Here is a 13,185-nt window from a genome sequence, read left to right on the forward strand (position 1 = left end):
ACCCTGCTAATTTTTTGTATTTTTAGTAGAGGCGGGGTTTCACCATATTAGCCAGGGTGGTCTCGATCCCCTGACCTCATGATCCACCCACCTCAGCCTCCCAAAGTGCTGGGATTACAGGTGTAAGCCACCGCACCTGGCTAACCATTTTTTATGAATTAGACAGAAGCACTTTAAGGGCAGAGGCCACATTTATATTTCTTATGAATGCCTGGCACAGTGGCAGGAGCACTGTGGTCTCATAATATACTCTTGCTGATTGAACAAAGGACTTTCGTCTGTAGGGAACATTAAACAGCTTAATGTTAACACATCTACCTGAGCCAAGCACCAGGGTCAACTAGAGAGCAAACCAGAGCTGTGAGGAGGATGGGAGGGAGGAAACCCATGAGACAGCACTGAGAACTGAGAGAGAACAATGACCCAGTAGTGCAGGGGACAATGAGGGCTCAGAGCTGGTTGTCCTTGTGACAGAGGGAGTTGTATTAGTTGAATGAATGAATGAAGGCAGGAACTCTAGTAGGACTAAATCTATTAGTCAAGGTTGTTTTCCAAAGACTGTCACTGCCCTAGAGCAAAGGGAGGGTGATTGTGATGTGGTTATATGTGAAAATACACTAATTGCCATTATCATGGAAAGGAACAATATTTTAGTAATAGGACAATCCTCTCTGTTCATCATTCTAAAGACAACAGTACTTAATACTGGGTCAAGTTCCAAATGGATAGTATTATACTATGGCATAATGGCGGATCTGTAGGAGAAGTAGCTGGCATAGATGGACAAAGTGAATGTAATTACAGAGCCTAGAACCCAGTAAATACAGAAGGGGATGAAGGTATAGAAGTGATCAGATACATTCAAGAGGGCATAAGTGAGAGGAGGAAGTACTTCCTTCCCACCACGGGGTTGCTTTTATTTTCCACAATCCAAGGCATTGATGAGATCAAAAAAGTTTGACATGGGTTAAACCAGAGACAGGCACAGCAAGTTTGCTATTTTATAGCACATGCATACACGGGTTTGTATGTATATTGTGAAATATTTATGAATATATATTCCACTGCTCATTCTTTATCCTGCCATTGTACTGGTACACACCTAATGGCCTTCCTCATACAATTCCTTGAAATATCCTAGTGAACTTAATAGTAAAATAAACCAAAATTATACATAAGAACCAAACTTGAGGTTGTCAACTCAACAAATGCAAAGAGCATTCAGTATCAGTCAAGAATGGCCTTTAAAATGAATGAAAAGATTTCTGATATGGACACATTTAGATGCTTATGATCAGCCTAATTAAAGATTTATTCATGCCCACCACAGTGGGTGACATCTCTAAGACTTAGCATAACTGAGTCATTGTGTTTGGACCCTCTGTTCTTCAGAGCACCCTCCAGCTTGCAGAAGGCCTGATTGTGTGTTTCCATTTTGGAACTGGCTTAAGAATGTGTAAGGATACAAGCAGTGATTACAGTGATCTTTGGTCAACGCACCTGTGACCTCTGAAAATAGATGAATTGTGAGACCATGGTTTGTCTTCCTAAAAACTCAGAGTGTTCAAAACATTCCAGTGAAAAAAAGGAATGGCAAGCATCATTTTCTTACTCCACAGATGGGAAAACTGAATCATGGTGGCAGGGGGCGGTAGATGAATTACTCCCAATTCCACCAAGAAATGTGTCATAGCTATTATAGTGTCCAGCTCTACTCTCCCTTTCAATCCATATAGCTAAATCTTTTTTTTTTTTTTTTGTAAGACAGAGTCTTGCTGGTCGCCCAGGCTGGAGTGAAGTGGCACCATCTTAGCTCAATGCAACCTCCACCTCCCGGGTTCAAGCAATTCTCATGCCTCAGGCTCCCAAGTAGCTGGGATTACAGGCCTGCACCACCATGCCCGGCTAATTTTTGTATTTTTAGTAGAGACAGGATTTTGCCATGCTGGTCAAGCTGGTCTCCAACTCCTGGCCTCAAGTGATTCACCCGTCTCAGCCTCCCAAAGTGCTAGGATTACAGGCGTGAGCCACTGTGCCCGGCCCATATAGCTAAATCTTGATTTGTTGTTTTGATCCTCTCAAGTCTAGATTAATGCTATTTCCCCTCATAGACTCCCTTTTTCTCATTTAGTTGGGGTAATTATTATTTCCAAACTTATGTGGCAGTTCCGTTATAATGGGTCCTTTGTTCTGCAGCCCCTACCCACTATGGCAACTCCCTCTGGCATCATCTAGAACACCCACCACAACAAACTTGTGTCTTCTCTCTGCTCAGTTCTTCCTATCATCAATTCATACTCAGATGCAAGTATCGTGCTCACACTCCAGACCTCGTTCTTTGTTTCCACTGTAGTCATGCTCCTGTAAACACTGGCCACTCCTCCCATCAGCCAAGCTTTATCCTCTCCCTCACTGCTAACTCCTCTTTAATCATATACTTCCACAGAGGACATGCACACTAATGAAATGAGGGGAAGGAAGATTCCGATTCCCCACATATCCCTTTAAGCAGCTTCTCTTTTTATGGGCCCTACTTCAGGCTCAAAACAAGCAAGGGAAAATGGCTGGGAAAGAAAATTAATTGCTAACAGACTATAAAAATGACTGATGAAAAACTGTATCTGTCAGTTGACATATGCTGTATTTGTTATATTGACTTCAAGTAGAAGTCAATATAACAAATTTGTGAATATATCTGTAGACTATCTAGCCCTCTGTTAAGTACTGAATAATGTAACAATGGGCTGTTATTAGCCTTATACACATGAGATCTATTCCTGGTAATTAAAAGTATAAGATCCTTATGTCATATACAGGTGCTTTTCATGTCTATTTTAACATGACATTACTATTTCCTTATGAGCGGCAATGCCACATAGCGGGTAGGTGTGCAGACCAGCCAAGTTGCCTGATTTCAAATCATAATTCTGTTACTCACTGGCTGAAAAGTACTTATCCTTCCTGTGCCTTAGTTTTCTTATCTGTAAAATGGGGAAATAATAGCATCTACCTAATAGGGTTGTTCTGCAGGATTAAATGTGTTATATTTGTAAAGCTTTTTTGTTTGTTTGTTTTTTGTTTTGTTTTGTTTTGAGACAGAGTCTCACTCTGTCACCCAGGCTGGAGTACAGTGGTGCCATCTCGGCTCACTGCAACCTTTGCCTCCTGGGTTCAAGCTATTCTCCTGCCTTAGCCTCCCAAGTAGCTGGGATTATGACCAGCTAATTTTTGTATTTTTAGTAGAGACGGGGTTTCGCCATGTTGGTCAGGCTGGTCTCGAACTCCTGACCTTAGATGATCCGTCCACCTCGGCTTCCCAAAGTGCTGGGATTACAGGCATGAGCCACTGCGCCCAGCCTATAAAGCTTTTTGAGCAGTGCTTGCACATTAATACCTTGCAAGAGCTGGTCATTAACAGTACTACTATTAACACATTCTCTCATTTGACTCTCCCACATACCTGTTGAAGTAGGGAGGCAGACATGGCTCCATTTTTTGCTAATAAGAATTACATCTGACATGCTCCATCGGTGAGGAGGTGGTAATAAAACTCTGATTCGTAGCAGGGTTCCAGTTCTGCTGGTGTGTGCAATGTGACCTATAACAATAAGCCTACTTCTTCCTTTGGGCTTCTGATTCACAATGGAAACCCTTTTAGTTGTGGTCATTCAGAGATCACGCAACAGCAAAGTTCTATTATGATAAGAACCTTCCTGTTCAAAACTGTTTGACTTCCAGAAGACAGGAACAGACCTTCAATTTAATTTCACCCCTATATGCCAGCTGAATAACAGAGGGATTTTCTTTCATCCTGGCAGAAAATGTGTGTGCTTACTTTTTCATTAATAACCCTTGGGCAAGGAAAACATCAAGCCACAAAGAAGGCTTTCTCCCCTCTACCACATTTTGTTATTGATGAATCAGATATGAATATATGGAAATAACCAGAGAATCTTCAAACACTATGAATTTATACAGGACACTTTCCTGCTGTGGAAACTTTAATTTCCCAGATATTATTAAATTCAAACCTACAATGTTTTTATCAAGAAGGCTAGAACGACAGCAATGCATAGAAAGGCAATGGACTATCTCAAGGTCATGCACAGCAAGACAGTGAGGAAACACAGAGGCAGAGAACCATCTCTTGGTGCAAAACATTGTCCTTCAGACTGCCCAATGCATTTCTATTTCTGGCACGGATAAGTGTGACCTGGATATCTGTAAGGTCAAGTCAGAGTTGAAACAGACCATTTGCATTAATTATTTAATTCCTGCAAAGGACATATGCTTTGGCATTGCTCAATCAGTACCAAGTAGAGCTGTGTTTTCATTCCCTGTAGGAAGGAAATAGTGACACGAAGTATGGCCGTACTAACTACCTGCAGCACTGTTCTCCCCTCTCAGAGAAGTCTACCCCCCAGAGGCAGAATGCACCTCCTCACAGTGAGAATGGGCTACCAGAGAAAAGCCTGAAATTTACATGACTAATCTTTGAAGTGCTTTAAGTACTTTTTTTCCATTGCTGAAGGAAAGGAATATAGAGGTACACGTGCACTTAACCAAAGTCAATACCATACAAAAACCATTAGACAATTTCTAAAAATCATTTAGCAGTGAAAATGGGATAGGGGCTGGGTGCAGTGGCTCACTCCTGTAATCCTGGCACTTTGGGAGGCCAAGATGGGTGGATCACTTGACAGCAGGAGTTGGAGACCAGGCTGGCCAACATGGTGAAAACCCCATCTCTACTAAAAACACAAAAATTAGCCGGGCGCCGGGCACAGTGGCTCATGCCTGTAATCCCAGCACTTTGGGAGGCCGAGGCGGGTGGATCACGAGGTCAGGAGATCGAGAACATCCTGGCTAACATGGTGAAACCCGTCTCTACTAAAAAATACAAAAAATTAGCCGGGTGTGGTGGCATGCGCCTGTAGTCCCAGCTACTCAGGAGGCTGAGGCGGGAGAATGGCGTGAACCTGGGAGGCGGAACTTGCAGTAAGCTGAGATCGCGCCACTGCACTCCAGCCTGGGTGACATAGCGAGACTCCGTCTCAAAAAAAAAAAAAAAAAAAATTAGCCGGGCGTGGTGGCATGCACCTGTAGTCCCAGCTACTCAGGTGGCCGAGGCATGAGGATCGCTAGAACCTGGGAGGCAGAGGTTGCAGTGAGCCGAGACTGCGTGACTGCACTCCAGCCTGGGTGACAGGGTGAAACTGAAATTAGTCTCTATACCACTTACAATGATTATTATTTTCTTCACCTCTTATTCTCTTGTTCTCGCTGAGCACAGGCAGGTTTTTCTAATCAAGCATGGCAAACAGGCATAGGCTATCTGAACTAATCTCCACTCAACCACTTTATTGCAATGGGACCTTTCACAGGTGTTTGAACTTCTCTGAACCTTAGTTTCCTCTTTTTTGTAAAGACTAGATAACACCTATTCGTTCTACCTGATAAATTGGCAAGGAAATAAGGTAACAGATAAAATGTTAAGCTCAAACTGGAACTGGGCACTTAATTGCTGAGGAAAAGTGTCAACAAGAATCTCTGGTAATGGCAATGGTGTTGAGGCTATAAAAGCCAAGGTCCAACCTTCTCCATAAACTGAGCCTTCCCTGGTACCTTGTGGTCTGAGTGTCTAGTGCATGGAGGGAAACACAGTGCAGAGTTCCAACAAACTGTTTTGACACAGTAATATATGGATGCTAAATTATGTACTACAGATGAGTGTGTGTGTGTGTGTGTGTGTGTAAGATGAATGTATATGTAGGCATATATGCATGTGGGTATGTGTACATGTAGATGTTTGCATGTGTCTGCATGTGTCTTGGGGTGCTTATGTGTGGTCTATGTGTTTGTGTGTGTGTGTATATATATATATGCATACATTTGATTAGGTAGAGGCCTGGACAGAAGGCTACTTTCTGGCAACAAGTATCTGGGTCTAAAGAATAGCAACAAAAATGAGAAAGAAGAAAAAACCAAAGAATATTAACTTTTGTTTAAGTCTACCACTCAGTTCCCAGTACTGAGAAAATAGCCTGAAAAACTGAGACACTATGACTGGTCTCTATCTGAAAATGTGTTATCTCTTTTGAGAATCCCATTGAATTCTCATTATTTCTTTTCCCTGAGCTCTTAATCTAATAAGTGACCTTTCTCCTATTTGTCCCTAAGATACCATGCCAGAAGTTTTTAATGTTTTGCAAATTCACACCATCTCTTGTGAATTCTTGTGAATAAAGGCCCAAGTACTAGTTCCACAAATGTCAGTGGAATCAGAGAAAACTTGTACTAGAAACTTTTGACTAGAACTGGTTCACAATTTGACTCAGTCTTGCATAGTACATGCTGATTACTCAGTATGTGCCTGAGGCAGACTAGGATTTGCAGATAGCCTAGGTTTGTCTGTGTTTCATTTAGTCTCTAATTGTAAGCAGCTACCTCAGAAGTAAAGGACAGGCTGGTAATGATCCCAGATGCACTATGCCACCTTCTTCAGCACAAGGTCTTTTCTACTCACTGTTAATTTACATCAAATCTAAACTAGCTACTCAGGAGGCTAAGGCAGGAGGATCGCTAGAGCCCAGGAGTCCAAGGCCAGCCTGGGCAGCATATTGAGACCTTCTCTTAAAAAAAGTTTAAAAATCTGAACTGACTATATTATCAAAGGGCTTCCACCCAGTCTCCTTGAGTAATAAAACTTATTTGTTGGTGCAATATTTACAATGGCAACAACATCCTTGGACTGAGAGTAAATGGATTTCTACCTATGCAAAATCAGCTTCGCCCATCTGTCTGTATATTACAATGACCTCAAATGACCTCCTGAGAAGACTTCTGGCCCACCTGTGGATACGTCCATCTGGTGGCTCTGTGCTCACAAGAAGTATTGATCCAACCCCAGCTGGGTCTGTGTCTAGTTAGTAACAACAAGCAGCAATACTCCAGGTAGTTGCTGGAAAATAGAACCTCAAACTCTTTGCTGCTTAATACCTTTCAAAAGCTCAGCTAAGAACAACAGTGATGGGGGATTTCCAGAATGGTATGTGGTCATCGTTCCTTTGGATATTCTAAATTTCTCCCCAGCCTAACCAGACCATCTGTAGAACAACTCAGACTGGCCCCCGTAGAAATGTTTTCTCTGATTAGGTGATGTAATTGGCCTCCATTGAGGGATATGACAAAAAACTGCCCTCTAAAACCCATCACTGTGTTTATGATAAAGTCATGTTACATACCGTCCTCTCTAAAGGGTCCATGAAAAAAGCTTCTCTCTGGTCTTGGTATCAAGAATAGTTCTGCTTTTCTTGGGTAACTGGTCTCTTTTTACCTATGTGTGTTGTAACTGGTAATATTTCACATTTTGCATGGTCTGACAACGAGCTCACAATCAAATCTTAGCCTGCTTCTTCTATTGAAATAAAACTTGCTGGCATGCATTTTGAGGACTAACCTCACCTCTGGCTATATCCACATCTTGTTTTGCCTTTGTCTCTTTTTTTAGTTTGCTAATTTTTAATTTATTCTATTTTCCTGTGTCGCATACATTTTGTTAGACTACTTTTAAACTCGCTTGAAACAAGTTGAAATATAAATACATTAGAAAAATGAGAAGTAACAGTGAAGCACTGTTAGTGGACCAAACATAATACATGAAACTGCTCAGAATTCTAATTGTAGGTTTCTCATTTAACATACTACTCAATGGTCAGAAACAATATTTAGATCTATAACCAACAAGCTTAATGTTAAAGCCTACAGAATAAAAACATGCAGACACAATAAGTAATGAGGGAAATTCAGAGATCAAGTTATAAAAGTTAATATATTTTAAAATCCATTGTCAGCCTCTCAACTCTTCAACCTTTTCTGGGAGTCAGCTACAAAAAATATTAATGTTTCCTACAACTTCTACTTGATAACAACATTTCACTGCTCTTCAAAAGCACAACACTCCGAATCACCTACCGTGTTTGTGAATAAATGCGAGTCCTTGTAATATCTGATACATGATATTCCTTATAGCAGACTCAGGAAACAACTTATTTCTGTATGAGGCAGAGGAAAACAAAGTTATAAATCAAAGGCCAGATCCTTTGATAATAAATACTAAAGAATACCATTTGTCCATACAGGGGAGCTACCTTATAAACACCAAATATAGTCACATGTTACAAAAACAAAAAGATTAAACATTTGATAGTAAGCCAAAAAAAAGTTTTTCCTCCAACATAGCATATAAATATCAAAAAATCTCCTCTTTCCATGATACAAACTAAAACTTTAAAAATTTTTGGTGGGGAAAATTTGAGGTCTTCCAGATGAAGCCCTTATGCAATGCAATGGCTAACATTTTCCTCCTGGCTGGGCAAAACACACAGCACACTGCCGTCATTGTCAATAAAGATGATATTTGTTCATTCAGATCACTCAGAGGAGTACTGTGAATGGCATTCATTTTGCCACAAAAAATGTGCCCAAGAGGCTCCATACGGTTCACCTTTGAAGTTCAAAATTACCGTCGCAGGTAAATTTCTTATTAGCCTCCTCTTGCCAGCATGCAATTACCTGAGTACTGCAGCAAGAGAGGAACTGAAATAAACCTAGAACTTTTCAACAGAGGTCTCAAAATCCAGGAAGCTGTGTCCACCCTTGACTTCTAGTTGCTCTGCCCATATGTCCTAGTGATAATGGAAAACTGCAATGTCTATTAAGTCTGAGCTTCTTTGGATGAATAACTCTTCTTTTTTTTTTGAGATGGAGTTTCGCCGTTGTTGACCAGGCTGGAGTGCAATGGTGCGATGTCCGCTCACCCCAACCTCTGCCTCCCATGTTCAAGTGATTCTCCTGCCTCAGTATCCCTAGTAACTGGGATTACAGGCATGCCCCACCATGCCCGGCTAATTTTGTATTTTTAGTAGAGACAGGGTTTCCCCATGTTGATGAGGCTGGTCGTGACCTCCTGACCTCAGGTGATCGCCCGCCTTGGCCTCCCAAAGTGCTGGGATTACAGGCGTCAGCCACTGTGCCCAACCTGGATGAATAACTCTAAAATAAGAAAATGACTGCATTGAGAACAGCTTCTCTGAAGCTATCAGAGGGCCTCTAAAGTAGAAATATGGGTGGGCCCCACACCTAACTGGCAGCTTTCAACATGAAAGCCCAGTAGCGTGAATGTTAAAGGATTGGAGAAAAAATCAGAATAATGCAATAAGAAAAGAAAAGCACACCAGCATGGCACATGTATACATATGCAACTAACCTACACATTGTGCACATGTACCCTAAAACTTAAAGTATAATAATAATAAAATAAAATAAAAAATAAAAAATAAAAAAAGAAAAAAAGGAGAGAAAGAAAACACAAAAGCAGAAAGAAAACACATCTGCTTTGCCTATTTATTTCTATAATAAGATAATGATGACCAAACTGTACCTCTCTTTAATGAGCTGGTAAAGATTTTCCTTCATGTACTCGAAGATAAAATAAAGATGATCATTTTCCCTGATAACTTCTTTTAATTTGACTACATTGGCATGGTTGAGCTTCTTTAAAGACTAAAAGGCAAGGAATAAACACAAAACAAAACAAATATTAGAGAAAATCTGTTGTTGAAAAAGAAAAGTAATCCTATGTATACTTGGAAAGAAACAACTAATTTTAGAACCTCAGAAATGTGCTAAATTATATTTTATTGACAGTTTAATAGTATACCTCTGAAATTTATAATAACTTTACATAGAAAAACTACTTCAATGAACTGAGTAGAAGGTATGTATTCGACCAGTAACTGGTATTTCTGGCTGCCCCCAGCACCAGGCAATGTACCAAGGCTATTTTGGGCCCACCCCCTCCAGATGATGGAATTCAGGCTGTGGAAGAAGCCAGAGGGGAATCAATAAAAGAAGCTTAGATTTTTCTAGCACTGGAGAATTTGCAGCTGCAGTGGGCTGAGATCACCAGCTAACAGTTTGCAGACACTCTGAATAGGAAATTGTTCAAAACGACGAAGGGTTGATGGCCTGCTTCTCTTGACTTTTGTCTGACTCATGTATGTCCATGAGGCATAGAGCACTCCTTCTTACAATGTGAGTTTGAGTTACAGAGGACCAGAAGGAGACGGAAGGACCCTGAAGTAAGACAAGAGAAATCCCTCTGTTTCCAAGAACAACGAAGGCAAAAAGTCAGGCAGTGGATGAGGAATGAGAGGGTGGCTCAGAAAATGGTGCGTGGCCTTATATGTGTGAAGATTACTCATCTTCACACATATGTACCTTTCCTCTTCCTGGAACATGTGCGTACATGTGAGTATAGCCATGTGCACACTGTTTTCTGTTTGTATTGCTAGTTCTGTTGATAGTGAACAAATCAATTTTGTATTAGTAAGCAGCATCCCTCTTCTTGTACAGCAGACATACCTAAAACTGTTGGTTTGGATAATCAGAATCTGATAAGACTGTCTCCTTCATGAAAGCCTCCAAGTGTCACTTTGGCCAGTGAGATGAATCCTTTAATTAAAATAGCCCTTTCCTCATACATAGAGAAGAGAGTCCAATATTAAGTTATCTTTGAATTTCACTAAAAAGAACATCCTTTTTATAAAACAAAGAAAACATGTGAAGAGGAAAGTGTTAAAACAAATATCCTCATCTAGAAGAAAACTCAGTGATAAAGTACCCAGGGTTCAAAGCTTGGGAATGTGTAATATAATCAGTTACTTCAAGCAGCTGGCGAGAGAGAGGAAATATGGTCAGCAAAAGAGAACAAAATAAGACTCTCTGGAGCTTCCTCCCCAGAAGAATAGTTCCTGCCAACATACTTCTCTGGCAGGGAATCCTCAGCTGTTTTGGCCAATTGTTTTGCTAGATCCTTCTAGTATGGACCAAAGGGGCTGATTACTTCTTTCGGTCGGGTTGGATTCCTGGTTCTCCATGAGTAACAAATATAAACATTGCTTAACTTGTAAGTATTCACTAAACTCTCAGTGATCACAGCTATCTTTTATGCCTGTTTGCTTAAAACGCATCACAAGCAATGGCTGAGGTAGCTAGTGGATGAGCAGCCTTGGGGAAAATTCATTCAGCAGAAAATGAAGTGGTTTTAAAGCTTTCCTGGGAGAGAATTCTAGGCAAGGAGTGGGGTGCCTCCAGCTCTTAGCCTGAAGTGTGTTTGGAGCCATGAATTACTGGCCAACTCTATGGCAGCTCACAGCTTTTGTTTCTAGGTGAGTCTCATGAACAAGAAAGTCCCTAGTAGTTTAATATAAAAAGAATTAATTTTGTGTGGGGGACGTCAAGTGACTGGCTTTATGAAGATGTATTTCCAGAAAGAGGCATCTTATTTTGGCTCAGGAAAGGATTCCAAAGCAGAGATAGAGGCAGGTCAGTTGTGTCAGAGTGGAGAAGCAGAAGTAGCAAATTAAGCCCAATCAACAGTCCAAATGTGGACTGTTTATCCTCATGGATGAAGCTTTCAGTTGGATATTACCAATGTTGTCCACATCAGGGACTGAGAAACACTTTCTAACTATTAAAACAACAATGTACTGGGCCCCCAGGGTATCCTGGGGCTTAAGATGCAGTGCTTGCTCTTAAGAGGCAAACAACCTAATTGGAAAGTCAGGACATGGATACAAAATACATCTAATAAAATAAAGAAGATCATACTAAGTGTCAAGGGAATGACAGAAACAAGGACCATCAGAGATGTGTCAAGGAGTAATCAGCAAACCCTGAGTGGTCAGTGGGAGCATCACCAAGATGTGACTTGAAGGAAGAGTGACACCTGGATGAGCTTGCTGGGAGGGAGCGGGCATGTCAGGAGGGAAGCCCGCTGCAGGTAAGGCATGGAAACTGAGTGGAGGACTCTGTGTCTGGGGGACGAAGGATGAGAATCAACCTAGTTTGGTTCTGAGGGAGACTCATCTGTAAGACTTTGGCTGGAGAAGTGGGCAGGGCGCAAACCATTTGGATGCCACGTATATACCTGCTGAGTTCTTCTGGTGAATCTGCTGCCTTAAGTAGAGTTGCAGAGGGAGATGCCTGACTTGATGAGGTTGAAAAGTAAATGGCGTGTGGGAAAGCTGCACTGAAGAAAGAAGTTTGGAAGGTAATGTAAGAAAAGGAAAGAGGTAGAAACTCAAGGGGAGAAGGGCTTGGGACTTTTTTGGGTTAGAGAGAATGGTGGGCACATTTATAGACTAAAAAGAATGAGCAGGTGGAAAAAAAAAGAGTTTAATGATATGGGAAGGAGGGGGAAATTGTTGCAGCAAGAACCTACAGATATAAAAAATTAAGATGGTTAAAAAAAACCAAAACAGCAAAGGAACACGGTAGGCAGAATATAGGCAGCCTATGGTTTCAAGATGGTGTCTAGAACAGCATAGTGCCATGTAAGACTATGCTTCTAAGAAAAATAGCACCAGGTGCCATTCCCCGCATGACATCATGGGAGCAGGGATTCCCCTCCCTGCCATGGCCGTGAGGTGCAGAATATCCCTGAAGTCCACAGGGTCTTCATGGGCAGACATGCAAATGTACAGGCAGGCAGCAATGAGGAGAAAGGAAGAAGGAACAGTGGCGTGGTGAGTACCCAGGATTTCCCTTCAGTTCCCTTTGCTGCTGGAATGAAGCAGCTGGCAGGACATGAGAAACGACAGTGATAAGAGGCCTTCAGTGACCTTCCTTTCCCTTCCCCTTCTGAGTCAGCAGGCACAAAAGAAGGACCTCATCAAGGAGGAAGGGATGAGGAATCTTGTAAGGTGCGCCTCCTTTCTACCTGCTTCTGCCTTCCCTCCCCTCTGTGTTCAGGGTTAGGCTGTGGCCCAGTGCTGCTAAGTCTGTGTGAGGCCCAACAAGCGCGTGGGTGTGGGGGTGGGGAGGATCCCAGTTGGCAGCCGATGTGGCATCTGTGCAGGCAAGGAAAGAGTGGGAGTTGTCTGGTGGTCATCAGCTAGAGGAGCAGTTTCTTCAACTATCTTGCCGAGGCAGTCACTTGCTTCCTAAGACACTATGTGCCCATAGTTTTTCTAAACTGTATATATGAGTAATCTCTTTTGCATTAGAACTAATACACAATTAGCTGTCTGGAAAAATAAAGGTTTAACATCCAAGCCATGGATACCTCTCAGAACTTCATGTCACAGAGAAAATGTCCTTGGATTATCTTTGTTTTTTATC

At 41.6% G+C, this 13,185-nt stretch overlaps 1 protein-coding gene across 9 annotated transcripts in view; it reads right to left on the bottom strand.

The window, feature by feature from the left end:
- The window catches only part of CILK1 (ciliogenesis associated kinase 1), a 60,522-nt gene that overhangs the window by 21,788 nt on the left and 25,549 nt on the right, over positions 1 to 13,185 (bottom strand). For all 9 annotated transcript variants that reach the window (NR_164684.1, NM_014920.5, NM_001375397.1 and 6 more), the window contains 2 exons: positions 9,443 to 9,564; positions 7,975 to 8,054 (listed from right to left, as the gene is read on the bottom strand). Coding sequence is in view for 8 of the 9 variants with exons in the window: in NM_014920.5 (NP_055735.1) it covers positions 7,975 to 8,054; positions 9,443 to 9,564 (202 nt within the window). In the remaining variant the exon portion in view is untranslated. The remainder of the gene's footprint in view (positions 1 to 7,974; positions 8,055 to 9,442; positions 9,565 to 13,185) is intronic.

The sequence above is a fragment of the Homo sapiens genome, chromosome 6 (genome assembly GCF_000001405.40).
Source record: "Homo sapiens chromosome 6, GRCh38.p14 Primary Assembly".
In the NCBI taxonomy this organism is placed as follows: Eukaryota; Metazoa; Chordata; class Mammalia; order Primates; family Hominidae; genus Homo; species Homo sapiens.